Source organism: Homo sapiens, chromosome 11, assembly GCF_000001405.40.
Source record: "Homo sapiens chromosome 11, GRCh38.p14 Primary Assembly".
Classification (NCBI taxonomy): Eukaryota; Metazoa; Chordata; class Mammalia; order Primates; family Hominidae; genus Homo; species Homo sapiens.
The window spans coordinates 123609282-123629075 of NC_000011.10; the positions used below are offsets into that span (position 1 = coordinate 123609282).

The window sequence follows — 19794 nt, forward strand, 5'->3', positions numbered from 1 at the left end:
ATCTGGGGGTTCATGCTTTGACCCTCTGTGCTTCTGCCTCCTCCCCTTCCCCCAAACTCTTCCCACAGCAGGGACCTCTAAGCATCCAGCTGTAACAAAGCATTTGGGCATCAGCGATCCTGTGTGCCAAGAGGAGAGGGCACGCTGAGGGCACGGGGAGGTCATGGCTTAGAGGAGAGGACTTGTTCCCAAGGGACCCTAGGCCCTCGCCACAGTAACACCAGTGTTGCCAGCACCCCCGTAGGTGGCCCCAAGACCTCCTGTCCCAGCCCCAGGAACAATCAGCATTCTGGAGCATTGTGTAGAATTTTGACAATGCTACAATGAGCCTCTTTCTGCTTCGGCTACTCCTCCTCTTCCCACCCTCCCCCCGGCCCTCGGGCTCCCATTGGCTTCCTTTTGGGGGCCAGGCAGTAGTAAGCACAGTCCAGAAGGTCACTTGGAGGGGAAACTTGGATTGGGGAGAGGGCTCTGCCCTCCCTTCCTCATTCCAGGGCTCTCCTCTACCCTTAGATATCATCTTCCATCCATGGAAAAAGGAGGAGAATGGAAACCAGAGCCGAGTGATTCTTTACACCATCACCCTTACCAACCCTCTGGCTCCCAAAACTGCCACTGTCAGGGAGACACAGGTGAGCAGAGCCGCGGATGCACAGAAGAGCGAGCTGGAAAATCCTGTGTTCTGTCTTGAAGGATTAAGGGCAGATGTCAGGAAGAAGTTTCAGGGCGCAAGTGTCATTTTGCCCCAAAGCGGTGGTGGCGTCTTGCTTGTTTAGTTGCTGCTGATTCCAGTGATCCTGGTTCTCCTGTTCAGAAGCCGTGGGGTGGGGTGGGCTTGGGGAGGCTGGAGAAGGTGCTTTTCCAAGCTTCTTGCTCCTCTTCAGTTTTGTCCAATGGACCTTTCCTGCCCGCAGACCATGTACAAGGCGAGCCAGGAGAGTGAATGTTACGTGATAGATGCCGAAGTCCTCACCCACGACGTGCCCTACCATGACTACTTCTACACAATCAATCGCTACACGCTCACCCGTGTGGCTCGGAACAAGAGCCGACTCAGGTGTGGTGTGTGGAAGTCCCAGTGCGGTCAGACGGGGGTCCTTACCTTAGAGAACATTCATTTGCTCCTGACGGGGAAGGAGGAGGTGGGGAGTGCTTGGCTGCTGACTCTCTTTATTCTACTTTCTCTCCGAAGCCTTATGAGGCTCACCCACCACTCTGTTTGAGTTAATTATTCTCTCCACTCTCTACATCTTGTTAGTAAAACTTGTATAGCTACTACTATTTATTGGTTGTCTGTGGCTTATACAGTATAGTGTAGGCGCTTTACCTACATTCACTGGAGTCTTTAGAACGACTCAAAGAGGTGGATTTATCTTCATTTTTCAGATAAAACTGAGTCTCATATGAGTTCAGGAACTTTGCCAAGAGTCATGTCTTTAGTAAGCACTGAAACCCAGATCTTAGAGTTGTAAACCTGTGCTCTGTCCACCATGCTGCGTGGATTGCCATTAGTGTTAGACAGTGAGCTCCACGAGGACAGGAATTCCATTCCACTTACACTTTATTCCCAGCACCCAGCTGGGCCTGCACGTATCAGAGTCCAGAGAACACTTATTAGTGAATAATTAGTTCTGGGCACTGTGAAGTGCTTCCAAAGGAAGGAAGACATTTAGACCCTGACATTTTAAGAAACTTGTAGTCTAATTGAAAAGGCAAGACACACACCCATTTGAAAATCATCAGACTGTTTACCTGTACCTTAGACCAAGTTCTTTTGGTTGTAAGGAGCCAAAAATTCGCTGATGTAGTTCAAATGAAAGTTTAGTAAAAGGTCGCACAGAGATCTCTTGGGCTTCAAGAAGTGCGCATCAAGAGGGACCTTTGTGCTTCGTGCCTATATTCACACATTTTGGGAGGCTTACGCAGGAGGGATTGCTTGAGCCCAGGAGTTCAAGACCAGCCTGGGCAATGTAGTGAGACCCTGTGTCTGAAAAAAAATAAAAGTTCGCCAGGAGTGGTGGCGTGTACTGTAGTCCCAGCTACTCGGGAGGCTGAGGTGGGAGGATTGCTTAAGCCCAGGAGTTCAAGGCTGCAATGAGCTATGATTGCACAACTGCACTCCAGCCTGGGAGACAGAGTAAGACCCTATCTCTTAAAAAAGAGGGCCTGCATCTTTTTCATTCTCTTGGTAATTTTTGGGGGGTTGGGTGTTCTGTGCTTCCTCCTGAACATGTACTCCTCCTTCAGCCTTGCTCCTCTTCCTCCTTCCTTCTTTAATTTCCCTTCCTTCTCTCTCCCTTCTCTTCTTGTCCTTTCCTCCACAGTGCCTAGGTTTCTTAATTCCAGGTTCCTCAGAAGATCTTTCAATTGCATCTTTTCTCTGCAGCCATGCAGAGGTAGCTGGGTGAACTTGAACAGACCATTATAGGAAGGTGCCCATCCACGATGCAGTCAGCGGTTGTTGAGTTGGGGAGTGACATGTCTCCAAGTACAGGCATTCTCCCATCTGGACATGGGTGGAGGTGGCATCCCTGAGGAGGGGGATGAGGCTGGGCTGGCAGCCTTAGTCACAGGGCGGGATGGGGCGGGATGGATTAGCTGGGAGAATCTATTGACAGATGCAGATGAACCTAAGGGGGAGGCAAAGAGCAGGGCTGCTGCATAGGAGAGAAAAGAGCTGATACTGCAGGGGGTATGGACAGAAGTGTGACCAGTGACTGGGAGCAAGAATGCTTGGAAAAGAGCAAGAGCTGGTGAGGTCTGGGGTGCAGTGGAGAGGCAGGAGCCAGGGCTGGCAGCAGATGATATTCTTTTTTTTTTTCTGAGACAGGATCTCACTCTCTTCCCCAGGCTGGAGTGCAGTGGTGTGATCATGGCTCACTGCAGCCTCAACCTCCACCTCAACCTCCCATTAGCTGGGACTACAGACATGACCCTGGCTAATTATTTTTGTTTTTGTAGAGATGGGGGTCTCACTCTGTTGCCCAGGATGACATACTTTTAAAGGTTAAAGTGATAAAAACCCAGAACTTGACTTAGACTTAAAAGTCTCTGGAGAAGGAGAGAATGACCCTGATGAAAGGATGAGCCGTCTTACTTTCTTTCAGTGTCAGTTTCTCAAAAGACTTGAACCTCAGGCAGAGCTTCCCCTTGCCTGGCAGGCAGGCTGCTGGGCCCTATGTGAGACCCCTGAGAGGAGGCAGTGTGCCATCATAAGAGAACTCTGGAGTCAGAACCCTAGTTGTTAGCCTTTGCTCTGCTTAAATATCCTACGGCTCAGTTTTCTTATCTATAAAATGGGGATAAATCCACCAGCTCCACTGACTTCAGAGGGTGAGATGGATGTGGAAGGACCTTTTAACTTGTAAAGTTTAGTACAAATGTGAAGCGGATCTGGCCTTAACTCCGAATTTCCCTTTTCCCAGCAGAGGCAGGCCCACCCAGGAAATGACTGATCTTGTGTCTGGCTTGCTCCTCAGGGTCTCCACAGAGCTGCGCTATCGAAAACAGCCCTGGGGGTTAGTGAAAACGTTCATCGAGAAGAACTTCTGGAGTGGGCTGGAGGACTACTTCCGCCATTTAGGTGAGCACTGCAATCCTTGCTGCTAGCTGGGCTGCAGAGATGGTAAACTGCACTGCGGCCGCCCACCATTCAGGGGAATGGTATTGAGAATAGAGGCAGAGACTGAAAGGTGAAGTAGTTTCATGAGGTACCCACACCTGCTTCAGAAGTGGACACCAAATTTGGCATGTATGTGGACAAGTGCATTTTTCTAGACTGTGTCTAGGATGTTTAAGAGATCATTGAGGGATCTATAAAACACCCCTCACCCCAAAAGGAACCACAGACCTAGTGATATAGGTGGCTCTGTGACGAGAAGTATTTGTAAAATGCCTGTGAATGCATCTATTTAAGACGTGTATGCCCCAAATTGTATACATGAGGGTGCAGATATTGGGAACATATGGTTCCTTGCAATGTTGAACAACCCCAGAGGAAGGGTTTGACTGGGGCTGGGTCCCACAAGTACCTCCTGAGGCTCATGGGCATCCCTGAGGATCCTCAACCCACCCAACCAACTTCCCAGAATACAGAATAGGAAAATGGTTCTGCAGAGAGTTGCATTGGAGGGCTGAAGGTGGCCTCTCCTGTGGTCCTTTTGTCTCTGATAGAGAGCGAGCTGGCCAAAACGGAGAGCACTTATTTGGCTGAGATGCACAGACAATCTCCCAAAGAGAAGGCCAGCAAGACTACAACGGTGCGGAGGAGGAAGCGTCCCCATGCCCACCTGCGAGTCCCTCACCTGGAAGAGGTGATGAGCCCGGTCACCACGCCCACAGATGAGGATGTGGGCCACAGGATCAAACATGTGGCAGGTGTGTGCCAGGTGGGGACAGGTCGGGTGGACTAAGCTTTGGGCTGGAGCTGCATGCCCACACCAAGGCACACACATGCACACTCATTTTGCACCTTGGCTATAATTTGTATATAATTTGAACGTAAGTCACTAAATCTGAGGCTCCCAATGCTCTGTTTCTCTTTGCTCTTTAAGTTCCTCAGCCCCAGCTGAACCCATATGTGTGCTCTAATTAACAAAAGCTGCCTTAGTGTTTATGCTTTCGTGTTGCCCTAGTTCCATGGCTACCTGCATAGGCTCAAGTATGAAGCTTCCAAGTTCTTGGGAAATACACTAAGGAGATCCCACAGCTCAGACCACAGAGATTACCTCATTACACAAAGATCAGGGAGACCAAGACAGTCCCCGTTCACTTCAACCCGCATGGGCCAACCCAGGCTTGCCCTCTCAGGCCGTGGACTCCCTTAATATTTCTTCCTCTTCCCACCCAGCCATTCACATCCTTGTCTTTGCTGAATCCTGGAAACCTGGGACTCTAAGGGGCCTTAGAGACCAACTAATTGAGTTGGATATGGACAGGGGAGGCAGAAGAAGAGGGGAGAGTGGGGGAAGAGTGCCAGCCTTCTGCATGCCGCCTAGCTTTACCCCTAGCACTTCCATGTTACGTGTTTTGCATTTAAGATTTCTGACTGACATTGCATTTGAGTAAACTGACTCTCAGAGAGCTTACATGACTTGTCCTCCATCATGTAGCTTACTAGGAATAGATCCAGACCCAGAAGCCAGCCGTCTTTAGTCCTAGCCCAATGCCACATCCTCTCCCATAGCTGAAGATCCCTTTGTCCTGGGCCTGTGTATCCTAGCTACATGGGCCTGTTGATTTTCTCATTTGTTCAATGATGACCTGACCCAACCCATGACCTTGCCCTTGAGGATTTTACCTTCTCCTCTTGGAGAGCTGGCAGTCTCCGCATATCGTTGCTGTCACAGTGTCATGGACATTTTTCCATCAGTCTCTGATGTTTGCTGTTTGACCAGTGTCCCCACCAGCAGTTGTTGGACTTGTGGGTCACCATGGTGATGGTCTCTTTAATTCTCCCCACAGGTTCCACACAGACGCGGCATATCCCGGAGGACACCCCCAACGGTTTCCACCTGCAGAGCGTGTCCAAGCTGCTGCTGGTTATCAGCTGTGTGTAAGGGATTCTAGGTTTTCCTATCCTGCCCTCACCACCTTCCCTTTCCAGCCTGGTGCCCCAGCCCTCGTCTCTTGAAGCATCTGAGCACCCTTACTGTTTGCCCTGGTTTTTGCCTTATCCTCTAGTCTTCTCTGTCTGGATTGGTTGCTCTGCCTGTTGCTTACCTCTTCGCTTCTTTTTCTCTGCTTTGTTCAGCATTTACTGTATGCTAGGCCTTCAGAAGAAAATGCTTCATGCAGCATCCATACCCTTCAGGGTTTCAGTTTCAAGTGGGTGAGAGAGACAGAACATTTGAAATTCCTGCACAGATGGTTAAATGCTAACAGAGAAATGCTAGAGGGCATTTTAGGAGTTCATTCCTTCATTAGATGTTCTGGGTGTCTGCTCTGTGCCAGGCACTGGAACTGTGCACTCATGGAGCCCACACGTTGGCAGGGTAGCCAGACAAAATCAATGCCTACAATACAAGAAAAGTGGATGCTTATTTTAATGTAGACTATTTATAATAATTGCTATGACATTATAAAACAGTAGGCACAGTAACTTGCATAGAAAGATGCTATGCTGGCTGGGCATGGTGGCTCACGCCTGTAATCCCAGCACTTTGGGAGGCCGAGGCAGGCGGATCATGAGGTCAGGAGATGGACAGCATCCTGGCTAACATTGTGAAACCCCGTCTCTACTAAAACTACAAATATTAGCCAGGCGTGGTGGCAGGCGCCTGTAGTCCCAGCTACTCAGGAGGCTGAGGTAGGGAAGGAAGATGCGCTACTGATTCGAGGGACCATACATGGTTGTGTCATTCACAGACATCTGGAATTTAGCAAAGCATTTCCAAAGAAGACATTAACAGTTCCAGGTATGTCTCAGGTGCCATAGGTTATCCAGGAAGAGGTGACAGATTTCTGCTGATGTGGTCCTGGAGCTCAGATGACAAGTGTAGGCTGCAGTCACTGCTTAATTATCCATAACATTACAGCCTTGGTGTGAATGAAAGCATCCATAGAGAGTATAGCATGTGACAAAGAAGACAAGGTCTAGGACGGTCCTGGGGACCAACTACAGGAGGGAAAGCCATGAGAAACATAAGGTGGACTCTTTCACCAACCTTAATATGTCAAATAAAAGTAAATGCAAAATTCTTCTGATGACAGCATAAGAAACGAAGATATTTTTACAAAATTAAAAACAAAAGTAACTGTTGGCTGGGCGCGGTGGCTCACACGTGTAATCCCAGCACTTTGGGAGGCTGGGGCAGGCGGATCATGAGGTCAGGAGATCGAGACCATCCTGGCTAACATGGTGAAACCCCGTCTCTACTAAAAATACAAATATTAGCCAGGCATGGTGGCAGGTGCCTGTAGTCCCAGCTACTCGGGAGGCTGAGGCAGGAGAATGGCGTGAACCCGGGAGGTAGAGCTTGCAGTGAGCTGAGATCGCGCCACTGCACTCCAGCCTGGGTGAAAGAGTGAGACTCCATCTCAATAAATAAATAAGTAAATAAAAGTAGCTGTAAAACTAGTAAAAGTCACACTTAGCAACATCGATTTAATGTGATTCATGCCATTGTTCTGTTAAATTAAATCTCTTGTATTGGATTTTGGTTTGTAGAGCACTGTAACCTCAAGTTAGTTCTGTGTTTAAGCTCTTTCTGCATTTTGACTTTAAGTAGAGAAGGCCTGCACCCCTGAGCAAATTGTATAGCATGTTATTAACTAACTTTTGGGTTTTGTAAGTTTAGAATGATCAGACTCTCTAATTCAATGCTGCAGGATCCAGGCCAAGTGTCTGCCGACAGCCTACACGTGGGACGGGCTGACACAGCACAGCTTGCCCTGTGTCTGGCAGGCTCTTGCCCCCACATGCCTGCTGCAGTGTGACTCAGCCACCTCCTTTCTCTATTTCGACAACTGCGCAGGCTTCACTTAGACAGCACACAGGGGTATCCCTTGACCTTCACTTAGCACAGAGAGGATTGCAAACATAAACCCAAATGCAGGCACCAAGATCGTGAGCAGGCTGTGCCAAAGAGGCGGGTGTTCAGATGACCCAGTGAGTGCTGATAAAATTAAAGACCGTGGCACTGAAATTCAACATAAAAGTTTTAAAGGCCTTGGGGACAACTCAGAGAGGCCTGAGAACACAGCAGCCCCAGAAATTTGTGGCTGTCAGTTTAAGGAAGACTACCTTCCACAGTACCAGAAGCACGGATGACACACACGGTACCACTTGCACAGGCATAAGCTTTGAAAAGCCTAAGGCATAGCATAAGCTTTTCTTTCTTCGCTGGTCTTTTATCCATCTCTCTTTTATCTGTTTTTCTTTCTTTCCTTTTTTTTTTTTTTTTGTTTGTTTGTTTGTTTGAGACAGGTTCTCACTCTGTTGCCCAGGCTGGAATGCAGTAGCATGATCTCAGCTCACTCTAACTTCCCCTTCCCGGGCTCAAGCAATCCTCCTGCCTCAGCTTCCCTAGTAGCTGGGACCACAGGTGCATGTCACCACACCTGACTAATTTTTAAAAATATTTTTTTGTAGAGATGGGGTTTTGCTATGTTGCCCAGGCTGGTTTTGAACTCCCCAGCTCAAGCAATCCACCCACCTTGGCCTCCCAAAGTGCTGGGATTACAGGCGTGAGCCACCATGCCCAGCCTATCTTCTCATTTTTTGTCATCTTTCTTTTCTTATGTGTGTCTACCTCTCCCCCATTAATTATAAGAACTACCCTTTGTGTAGGGCCTGTGGTGTGCCGGGATATTTTACAATATATTCCCTTTCATCTACAGAACAACCCCAGTAGGATAGGTATTACTGTCCCTAGGTTGGAGAAGCTAGGAAACTTGATCAAAAGTTAAGAGATTTTTAAGTGGTGAGCCAGGGTTTGCATCCAGTTTTGTGTGTCTCTGGATCCTCTCTACCCATGATGATGTCTTCATCTCTTCATCCTATGAGCTTGTTATACAGTGAGTTTAGGCAGCCAGTGAGGCTGAGAGAAGGAGAGAATTTCTGCAGTCTCTCTATGACTCCCCACAGCCCCTCCAGCCCCTGGATGATCCTTGCCTCCCCTGTCTCTCACCAGTTCTGACCCAGACTCTGGGAAACCTCAGCCTGTCTGCATGATCCCTGCCAGCCGGTATCAGGTTGAGGCAGGGAACTTTGCAGCTTGCGGGAAGTTCTGCTAACATCTGTAAGAGGTATCATTGGCAGAGCTAGGGACCCACTGGAATTCCTCCTTCAGTCTCACCCTTCAGTTAGGTCCTAAGGTTGGGTTGGTAGGGGGAGTCTTTTCTCAATTTAGCACCCGTGGAAATACTAAGAGTCTGTCTGTTGTTTTCTTGTGCCCTGTCCTTGCTGGGTCGTCTCATCCATTGTGTCTTTGCTTCTAGTATTTTTTTCTCATATACTCTCACTCACTCCCAGGTTGATTTTCAGTGCAGGTTTCCCCTTCCCCACACTTGCCTGTTTCTAACCTCTGCCTCCTCCCCATTTTTCTTCCTTGCTCCCATTAGGATCTGTTTCAGGTACTGGCTCTATGATTTCTCCTTTACCCCCTCATCTCTTTTCCTCCCCACCGTACCTCTCTTCCCCCAGGTGCCCAGGTTCTGGGTGCCTATGCATCTCTCCTTTCTAGTGCCTTCATCCCATGCCCCTCTCCATGGCTCTCCCCTGTATCCTGGCCCATCCAGATTAGGTTGCTTCTCTCTCTCTCTCCCTTGCTCCATCCCTCCAGCTCAGTCACTCACTGCAATGCTTTGGATGGCCCACCGGTCAGGGACAGCAGCCTCTGGGATGGGGGATGTCCTAGGCTCAGGTGACATCTCACTGCTGATGTTTTTTTCCCCACGTCTCCTTCCTAGTCTGGTGCTGCTGGTCATCCTTAACATGATGCTCTTCTACAAACTCTGGATGTTGGAATACACCACGCAGACCCTCACTGCCTGGCAGGGTCTAAGGCTCCAAGAAAGGTAATCCTGGCCTCGTCCCCTCACCTCCACCTTCATCCCACCCAGTGCCATGATACCTGTCTCCCAGTCTCCTTGGGACTGCCTCACTGCCCTTCCCCATCCCTCTGGGATGAGCCCACAGGGAAACTCAGAATCTCTCCCTATAGTTTCAGCCCACTTCTGATCTGGGGCACAGGGGAACCGGGGGCAGTGAGCAGAGGACAAAGCACTCTGATGTGACTCTCTGTCCTTTAGGGGTCTGGGAGCCCAGGACAGTTCGCTGAGCATAACTCCAGCTGCTGGGGTACCCCTTCTTCTACCCCACAGGTTACCCCAGTCTCAGACAGAATGGGCCCAGCTCTTAGAGTCCCAACAAAAGTACCACGATACTGAGCTCCAAAAATGGAGGGAAATCATCAAATCCTCAGTGATGCTCCTTGACCAGGTGAGATGCCCCACCTTCTCTGCTTGCCCTGGTCTTTGGGAGCGGGGACTCCTTCCCTTATGCTGTGAGAAAGATCCTCGTCTCTATCACCACCCTCCAGACTTCTCCCTCCAATTCATTCTTCCTCCAGGCCATGCATTGTTCTAAATGGAAAGCCTTCCTTGAGTGGGCTGCTAGAAATGCAGGTGTATTCTAAAAAATAAGAACAATAAAATGACCCACTGAATTTGCACCAGGAAAGCTGTAGTTTAGGTGGAAGGAGAACTCTTTTTATTTTTATTTTTGGTAACCCATAACCATCTGACAGGCATTTAAACAGAGAACCCCCTCAGCCCTTTTACAGAGATTTGTCTTCCCAGAGGGCATGTCTTTGAGTTTTTTCAAATGTTTACCGCCCCCTCCTCTGACAGTCAGTGGCACTGCACTGATAGTCTGGGAAGATGGCTGTACTTTGTCTTCTTTTCATAGCATCATCTTTGTCGTACAGTTTGCCTGTATTCCCCCCCGCAAAACTAGATCAACTATTTAGGCAAATCATCCTGAGGCAAAATCAATAATTAGCCTAGTTTCCTTGGGGGAGGGAGCTTCCTGCTTCCCCAGAATAGTTTAGTATCATAAAATATGCCTCCATGTGGTTGCCTAGAGAGCAGGAATCTGCCTTTGCTGTGCAAGAGAATTAGAAAATAATAGACTCAGGATTTATCCTGCTACATGACAACTTCTCTCCCTAAAGAGTTGCCTTTCTGATGTTTTGTGACCAGCCAGAGACGGCATCCCAGCTTTGCCACTAATTTTGTGACCGTGAGCAAGGGACCTTGAGCTTCCATTTCTTCATTTATAAAATAGGAATTGTAATCATAGCTTCATGGAACTGTCATCAGGATTTGATGCCATGTGGGCGGTGCTCATTAATATTAAACTTTGTTTCCTTGCATTGTTTGGTCTTAGCTCTAAGTAAGGAAAAAGAGGCCGGGTGTGGTGGGTCACGCCTATAATCCCAGCACTTTGAGAGGCTGAAGAGGGCAGATCACTTGAGGTCAGGAGTTTGAAACCGGCCTGGCCAACATGGCGAAACCCTGTCTCTACTCAAAATATAAAAATTAGCCGTGTATGGTGGCGCACACCTGTAATCCCAGCTACTTGGGAGGCTAAGGCAGGAGAATTGCTTGAACCTGGGAGGTGGAGGTTTCAGTGAGCTGAGATAGTGCCACTGCACTCCAGCCTGGCAACAGAGTGAGACTTCATCTCAAAAAAAAAAAAAAAAAAAAAAAAGGGAAAAGAATCTTAATGCAGCTATCAAGACCCAGTTGGATGTGTTTAGCTTTGTCACTACACTTAAGGAGGGCATTTTTTATTTTAAACCAAAAGGGGACAGAAAGCTTAGTGAGGAGTTTAGAAGCCCTACCCTTTCAAAAAGTGTTGATGGAATTGAAGACAAACCCAGGAGAAGGGAACACGAGGGTGAGGAGAACAGGGTGGCCTTCAGACACCCAGGCCAACACATGTCAAGGGTTAGACTTACTGGAAAACTCCAGAGCGCTGAACTAGAGCTAGAAGTTTAAGAAAGTAATTTTTCTTCATCATCAAATGCAAACAACTTGTGGCTAATGCTGTCCAGCAATGGAACAGGCTACTGTAGGGAACTGAGATTCCAACATTGAAAGTGTTCATCATCATCACTAGATGATGATGGATAAAGAACTTATAGATTAAATTGGGGCAGTTGGACTAGATGACCCAGGGGTCTCTTCCAACTCTACAATTCTATTTCAGAATGGGGCCCTTTAACTTGGGGGTTGGGGCTGTCAGATTTATAGCCTAGTGGACTCTACCCTACAAGTATTAAGAGAGTTGTTTTGTTTCAATCCCTTTAAAAGTAACTTTTAAAATAACAGAATGGCCCCCTCCTCTGTCTTGAGCACAAGATATAAATGAACCAGAGAGAAGAAAGTGGTAGATTAAGCAGAGAGACCAGACTTTCCCTAAATCCGTAACCATTTACCCCAGAAATGTTGTCTTATGTTGTAATACAGCAGTTTACCCAGAGACAGTATGTAAATATGTGAATATTTAAATATATGATGGTATGATGGGCCATTTTACAATTCTCCTGCCAGGTTCCATTCTAGTCTCCCATTTAGACTGCAGTCTATGACCTAAAAATGTTAATTTGCTGATGTGGATACCTACTAGGAACCCACTCAGTTCTCTGCATGGTGCCCCTGGGTGCACAAGGGAAGGATTAGACACAGTTCTAGTCCTAGCAAACATGAAACCAAGCAACGAAAGATGACTGCAGTCCAGAGCCTGAGTGTGCTGTGTGAGAGACCATGAAGGAGAGGGATGACTGGGAGCTGGAGAAAGCTTGGATTTGTTCTGAGCCTTAGCAGACGGGTGACACTGGAATAGGCAAGAGCACAAAGATTCCTGGGCGGGGAGAACAATGTGGCTCAATGTACAAAGACAGGCTTGTGGTATATTAAGGATCATCAGGGAAACCAGATGAAACAAGTAGATCAAGTCAGTGACAGCCTGAGAGGCTCTTGGTAGCAGTTGAACACTTCAAGAGAGTTCTTGATCTAGCACTGAGACCCAGTAAGCCCTACCCAAGGGCTTCCCCATGCTAGATTGTCTTTCTTTCTTTTCTTTCTTTCTTTTTCTTTCTTTCTTTCTTTTTCTCTTTCTTTCTTTTCTTCTTCCTTCCTTCCTTCCTTTCTCTCTTTCTTTCTTTCTTCTTTCTTTCTTTCCTCTCTCTTTTTTTCTTTTCTTTCTCTCTCCCTCTCCCTTTCCCCCTCTGTCTCTCTCTCTTTTTAAAAGGCAGGGTCTTGCTCTGTTGCCCAGGCTGGAGTGCAGTGGTGCAGTCATAGTTCACTGCAGTTGCAAACTCCCGGGTTCAAGCCATCCTCCCACCCCAGCCTCCTGAGTAGTTAGGACTACAGGTGCATATCACAAAGCCTGGCTATAATTTTTAAATTTTTTATAGAGATGGGGTCTCTCTGTGTTGCCCAGGTTGGTCTGAAACTCCTGGCCTCAAGTGATCCTCCCACCTCTGCCTCCCAAAGTGCTGGGATTACAGGTGTGCGTCACTGCACCCAGCCTGACTGTCCCCTTTCTGTTTGAAACAGTGTTGAGAACCACCCTTGCTTTAGGTGCCCGACTCTTTTCAGCCCCATGGCGTGGTTGGAGGCCTGCCCTAGGCGGGTGTGGGGAGAGGGCTGCTCGGTGGAGAATCCCACTAAAAGCGCAGACCCAGGCCTGGGGTGGGGTTTTCTGTCTTGCAGATGAAGGACTCGCTCATCAACCTTCAGAACGGCATCAGGTCCCGCGACTACACGTCGGAAAGTGAAGAAAAGAGGAATCGCTATCATTGACAAGGCAGGAACAGGGTGGCTGCAAGAGGCCTGTGCAATACATGTACATAGACCATATAAATATATATATATAAATATATATATATACAGAATATAAATATATATATTATATACAGATTTTAAAAAAGAGATAATGCCTATGTACCAGGGAGAAGGAGCGGGCCCTCCCGCGCCCTGTGCTGGCCGGAGCAGCGTTTTCTTATGGTGGAGCAGCTGAGGAGGGCAGGAACCGCCTCTCAGCACCGACCTCCCCTGATCTCCCTCCTCCCACCCTCTGTTCCCCACCCCTTCCCTTGCTGGCCATTCTTGGCTTTTAGAAGGGAAATGTTGAGCCAAAGTTATGCCTGCGAAGACCCTAAGGTCTCAAAAAGAAGTCTTAAGACGGCATTGCTTAAGGTGCTTCATTCCCTAATCCCCTTTTGATTTGTTTCCAAAATAAAAGAGAATCTTTTCTTCCCTACCCCAGGCTTCCCCAGGCATTCTCTTGGGAACACAGAAGCATCAAGGGAGCCCAGTCTAAACTCCTAGGGTTGGCCGCCCACTTGATCCAGACCGTACTGAGTGTCAGATGGAGAGGATGCTTGGAAAGCTAGGAAGGCTGCATTGTGTGGTGGCAGGCTCCCGAGACTCGTGTTCTGAAGGATACTCTCCTCCATCACCCCTGCACCTTCCTCCGACCTGTGTAGGGTGTGGACCCAGTAAGGGCTGGGAATTTCTTACTTTCCCACCCGCTTTCTCTCTGGTCTTCTCCCAGGCTGGATCTGGGCGAAGTGTCACTTTTTAGTGCCTAAAGTCCTATTGTTTCTCTGTGCCCTAAGAGCACATTGTTTATTAGCCAGGGTGGAGCGTTTTCGACCTTATTAAACCTCTTTTAGTGCTTCTAAGCAAGTCAGGTCTGTGGCTCTGAGGCCTTCACTTAGAGCTGTCAGTGTGATTTCCAGGATGAGTCAGGGTGTGCTGGGCCCTCCAGGATTTGAGAGAGGGAGAGAAGGCCCTTGCCACGTCCGGGGTGCAGGGTCTACCCACAGAACACTGTGAGTGGTGAGCACCAAGATGGGTTGCCAGCCTCATTTGCTCTTTGAACGAACCAACATTAGCCAGTGGAGACGACTGTCTGAGACAGTTTGCACATAGAAAAAGCATCTGAGCCACTGGAGGGAAGGATTTGGCAAAGGTGCATGTGTTTGGGCAGGAAAAGGCCAAGTGAAATCTATGCCCTACGGGAGCCATTCCCAATCCTGAGTTTCTCAGACTTGGCAATGGGGGTTCTGGCGGGGGTTGGAGTACAAATCCTGCTCTGGTCTCTGGCCCCACAGAGGTGTAAGATCATTAAGAAGTAGAAGGCACTAGCTTCAAAGAGTGAGACATTCAGGGCCTTTTCAGCATTGGCCCACTAGCACCATGCATTTATCTGAATTCACGGGGCCCTCTGGGCACATTCATCATCCCTCATACACTAACTACTGTTTCTTCATGTAATGACCAAAAGAGTCCCACCAGCTCCAGGCAGAGCTTGTGGAGATTCATGAAAGAGTCATAGCCAGTTTGGCATGCAGAGGTCTTCAGTCTTGCTTATTCTTCTCCTGGGCTTCTTGACACAGGGGCAGAAGAAACCCCAGATGTCCCAGATGTCCCAGAACATCAGCCCAAAAGACAGAAGATTTTATCACTCATCTACCCCAAAGATAAAGTTGTATTTTTTTCTTAGAATGGCCTTTAATTCCCTGTGGCAATTACAGTTTTTGACTTTTCCATGTGAGAATAAGGCCTTGGTATTTCCCTAAGGGCAGGATCAGAAAACAGGAAGGTCCATGCCCAGGTGATCCTCCAAGGGAGGAGGGTGAGGAGGCTCCAGGGCATGAGCTAGAGTGGATATTCCTCCCCTAGAAGAGGAGATGGGAGGAAATGCAGTTTCATGTAATCCCTGTGAAGAGTGCCTATGCCCACAGCCCAGTGGGTCCTTGTTCAGTTCTTGTCCAGGCCTTTGGGTGAGGGACACTGGTAGGGATCAAGGCTCATGGGCTCTGAGCCAAAGAAGGAGGCATGGTGCAGACTGCTGGAAATCTCCCCCTTGGCACAGCCAGAAGCCAAAACTATTCCCAGAAAGTTTTGAATGCAAAACTTGTAGATTCCTGAATTTATTCCATACATAATTATTTCCTTAAGTTATTTAATTATTAAAGGTGCCACGGTGGGACCTTTGGGATGACTTAAAAAGGGTTCTTTGTTGGGAGTCAAGTGACAGAGCAGACCTGGCCGCAGGGAGTTGTTCTGCTTCTGCTTTACCTCTCAGGACCATTCCCAGGAGGAAAAGGTGGCAGAGAGGGCAGTACTGAGTATGTCAGAAGAGCCCTCCTGGTTTTTTAGCGATTTGAACCCACTAGACAATGTGTGCACATAGGGAATGTCCTTTAAGAATCATGGATCTCTTGTAGGCTCTCTGTGTTCCAATAATTTTTTGACTATCATACCAGGAAAAAACCAACAACTCTATTCATTCCCAAACAAAATCTCTTCCCCCTTAGTCAATAGCTTGCGAAAGACATCTTAACTCACCCTTGCAGATAAGTCTTGGAGTGAAACAAATAAATAGCATTGTATTCCTGGCCATTTGCCTGGCTAGTTGCTGTCTACAAGGGAGCATCAAAACATCACTACTTCTTATGTAACTTCTTCCAGCCAGTGCTTTTATTGTTCGTTTTAGTTTACTGGGGACACACAGGAGTCTTTCTGTAATGACTTATGTGGTAAAATGTTTGAGAGTTTGCACTCAATTTTAAAGAATTTGCAGTTTCTAACAAGGTGAAGAACAGCTATAGGATCTAAAGTTCCATTACAGCTTACTGTGAAAGAATTGACAAGACTGGCCTCAGACAAGCTAATCATGGTGCGACTCTCTCCCTTCCTCATCCACCTCTTTGGGGACAAGAGGATTACATCTCAGGCCAGCAAGATCAGCTGCTTGAAGCTCTGTGTAAGAGCACTGCACTGACGGTTTGGAGACCTGAGCCTGGGTCCTGACTTTTCCATTGACTAAGCTCTGTGGCCTTGGGCAAGTCACTCCCCCTCTCTGAGCTTCAGTATCCTCCTGTCACAGGAGGGAGTTGGGCTAGATCATCTTTAAGGTAGGTTCTAGCTTTGACATCATCTTGGGGGTTAGGCCAGAGGCTGGGAAGACTGGGTGGACTTTCTCAATTGCTCTGCCAGGAGGGAACAAGCCCAGAGGCTGAAGCTTCCCAGTATTTAGAGGTGTGGTAGGGCAGTGTCTGCATTCCCAGGAGACCCAGGGTGATTAAAATTTATTCTTTAGGTGGCTAGGAGGGCTGGGGAGGCCCAGTGGAAGAGAGAGAGAGAGAGAGAGAGAGAGAGAGAGAGAGAGAGAGAGATCGAGCTTGATGTATTGCTCAGTATTCACTTAGAAGGGTTTCTTTCTCTTTGGCCTAGTTTGTGAAGGGATCTTCCTTTGGACTTTCTCTAAGTTGGGAGAAGAACATTCTTTTCAATGGAGCTCATCTTCTATCTCTAGGGTCTGTTCAGCCTTTCATCTATCCATCCTTCCTCTTTATTGGTAGAAGAAACAGTGGAGAGTAGCCACTTCTGGTTCTAGCACTTCTCTTTTGTTAAGATAGGGTTTGGATTTAGTATGAAGCTTTGGCTAAAACCCTTGGGTTTGCCTTAGAACACTGACACTAAGAACCTGGAATGACATGGGGAGGACAAAGAGAGCTCAAGAGGAATGCTTTGTGAGAAGTGGATTCTCTCCGTGTCCCTGCCCCCCACCCAAACTTGAACTATACCTATTACATTTCCAGGCAGTATCCCTAAGATGAGATCCTGGAGAAAGGACTAGGGGAAGTATCTTTCTGGATGCTTGTGGTCCCAGAAGGGTACTTTCTGTGTCATACCATGCCACTTCTTTAAGCTCTTCAGGGCAGCCAAAGCCAGCCCTTTTCTCCTACTGCCCCCAGGAGAAATAGCACTCTTCTCCCTTCCCCCAGATGGCAGGGCTCTGGCCTCCCTACACCTCATACCCTGCCTGCCTCCTCCAGGAGGAATCTCCGGGGCCCCTTCCTGACTCTCCCCACCTTCGCCACTTGTCTCTAGGCTATGGGACAATCATCCCATTCACCACTTGACATCCTTGACATCCTTGACTTTCATTCCCCCAACCTCCAGCAGGTTGGCCCCAATCCTCTTCACCTCTGTGTTTTCTTCTAGAAGATGCATTTTGGGTCTGAGAGGAGCATTTTCCTGGAAGGCCATCTTTTAAGGCCCCTGCTTGCTGTCATAGTGCAGAGCAGAAACTTGCACACTATTTAGAGAGCTCCCTTCCCACCTCTCTGCCCAGCCTTGTTACCTCACTTCTGCTCTGGCCATGGCTGTGAAGGGCCCAGCCAGCTCCCTGTTTTGATGTTCTGTGCAACAGCTCCGGGGTCTTGTGACTGGAGATCCTCAACAGGCCCTGGAGCCAGGACTGGAGTCTTGGCAGCTGATGAGCAGCACCTTGCCGGCCAGGAGGAGCTGATGCTGACGATCTCCCCAACATCTGAAGGCTTAAAGAACATTGTCGTTCTTCAGCCCTCCTTGCTTCTCTCAATACAATAAGACATTGCAGAAGCAAAAGGGTGGCCTCTGCTCCAGGCAAGGCAGCTGGCTCTGTCTGGGGCATCGGCCTGGGGCTTGGGTGCCACGTGCTGAGATTGCATAGTCAAAACAGCCATTTTTGCCAACAATAGCTTGTGGCTCCCCACATTTTCCTACCCTGCACTCAAGGGCCAGACCACTCTCTGCATGGACCAGACCATCTTCCCAAACCCATGGTGCTTTTTCCCCAACTCAACCTAGACTCCAAGGTGGGGAGGGATGGGTCAGAGGCCATAGTGGCCCCTGGATAATCCTGACGTGGGGTGGAGTGGGGTGAGGCAGAGGGAGCAGCCCCAACACCTGCACTGGGCCATCTATGGGAAAGAACACGGGTCGAGTGCAGTCGAGTTGTCTGGCCATCTGTATTTGGATCTATAACTGTACTTTGCCTGGCGCTGTGCGCAAGGTCAGAAAACTTACTGCTAGTACCTAGAAACACACAAGGCTGCCCAGCCAAATCTTAATGTAAAGTAGCTAGAGCCATGGAAGTACAGTATGAATTAAAAAGAAAAAAGTATTGAACTACAATAATAAATGGTGTGCGTGTTTATTGCTTGATCTATGAATGCTCGTCACCTCAGATGTTTCTGGTCTTCCCAAGTAGGCTCACAGCAAGTCCTGAAGGCATGTGTTTGTAGGCACGCTTATAGACACACACGCACACACACACGCACACACGCAGCCATCCACCTTCTCACGGGAGGGAGGGAGGCCGCCTGATCAACTGGAATGGATAAATTTTGGAGTCAGACCTGAGTACAAAGTATAGCATCACTGTTTACCAACTGTGTGGCCTTATGCCCCATCTGTCACTCCAAGCCTCAGTGTTTCAGAGATAATACATTTAAAACACACATCGTTCTTGGTATGGCTGCTGGTATTATACTAAAATATTTTCTTTTGTTTTGAGATTCACTGTCACCCAGGCTGGAGGTAGTGGTGCATTCATGGCCCACTGCGGCCTTGACCTCCTGAGCTCAAGTGTTCCTCCCACCTCAGCCTCCTGAGCAGTTGGGGCTACAGGCACACACCACCATGCTAGGCTATATATTTTTTTTAGAGATGGGGTCTCACTATGTTGCTCAGGCTTGTCTCAGACTCTTGGCCCCAAGTGATCCTCCTGCCTCAGCTTACCAAAGCGTTGGGATGATTTTTAACCTTTTTTTTTCTTTGAGATGGAGTTTCACTCTTGTTGCCCAGGCTGGAGTGCAATGGCATGATCTCAGCTCACTGCAACCTCCGCCTTCCAGGTTCAAGCAACTCTCCTGCCTCAGCCTCCTGAGTAGCTGGGACTACAGGTGCCTGCCACCATGCCCGGCTAATTTTTGTATTTTTAGTAGAGATGGGGTTTCATCATGTTGGCCAGGCTGGTCTTGAACTCCTGACCTCAGGTGATCCACCTGCCTCGGCCTCCCAAAGTGCTGGGATTATAGGTGTGAGCCACCGCACCCGGCCGATTTTTAATCTTATGATGAGTAGTACTGTTGTTGCAGGAGATTGTGGTGGACTGTGAATCCCGATGATGGTTTCTTATAGAACTTTTCCCTCTTCGGGCCTTAACACTTCCAGGAAGATGAATGTTGAGAGACTGCTCCATGTTCTTCTTTTATGTTACCTAAACTGGTGGAGCTGAGAGCCAGATTGGCTCCTCCCTTCATTAGGTCAGCCTTGCAGGGAGCTCCTCGATGCCTGGTAAGGAAACTTGTTTGATGTCAGGCAAGAACATAAGTGACTCTTGTATTCCTTTGTATTGGGGTAGAGGAGGAAAGGGAAGCGGAGAGGCTAGATCACACATTTAGTGTGTGTTTAATGTAAGGCTATTACATGGTTTTCATT

The 19794-nt window shown here is 48.3% G+C and overlaps 1 protein-coding gene across 42 annotated transcripts in view; it reads left to right on the forward strand.

Moving 5' to 3' along the window:
- The window catches only part of GRAMD1B (GRAM domain containing 1B), a 269346-nt gene extending 250860 nt beyond the window's left edge, over window positions 1–18486 (forward strand). For 20 of the 42 annotated variants that reach the window (XM_047427319.1, XM_047427324.1, XM_017018039.2 and 17 more), the window contains 7 exons: window positions 514–632; window positions 915–1057; window positions 3480–3583; window positions 4174–4377; window positions 5464–5554; window positions 9412–9519; window positions 9826–10877. In XM_047427319.1, coding sequence (XP_047283275.1) covers window positions 514–632; window positions 915–1057; window positions 3480–3583; window positions 4174–4377; window positions 5464–5554; window positions 9412–9519; window positions 9826–10090 — 1034 coding nt within the window. In that variant the 3' untranslated portion in view covers window positions 10091–10877. Of the gene's footprint in view, window positions 1–513; window positions 633–914; window positions 1058–3479; window positions 3584–4173; window positions 4378–5463; window positions 5555–9063; window positions 9076–9411; window positions 9520–9753; window positions 10878–13224 lie in introns of those variants that run through there. The other 22 variants (NM_001367421.2, NM_001367418.2, NM_001387025.1 and 19 more) reach the window with 4 other exon arrangements.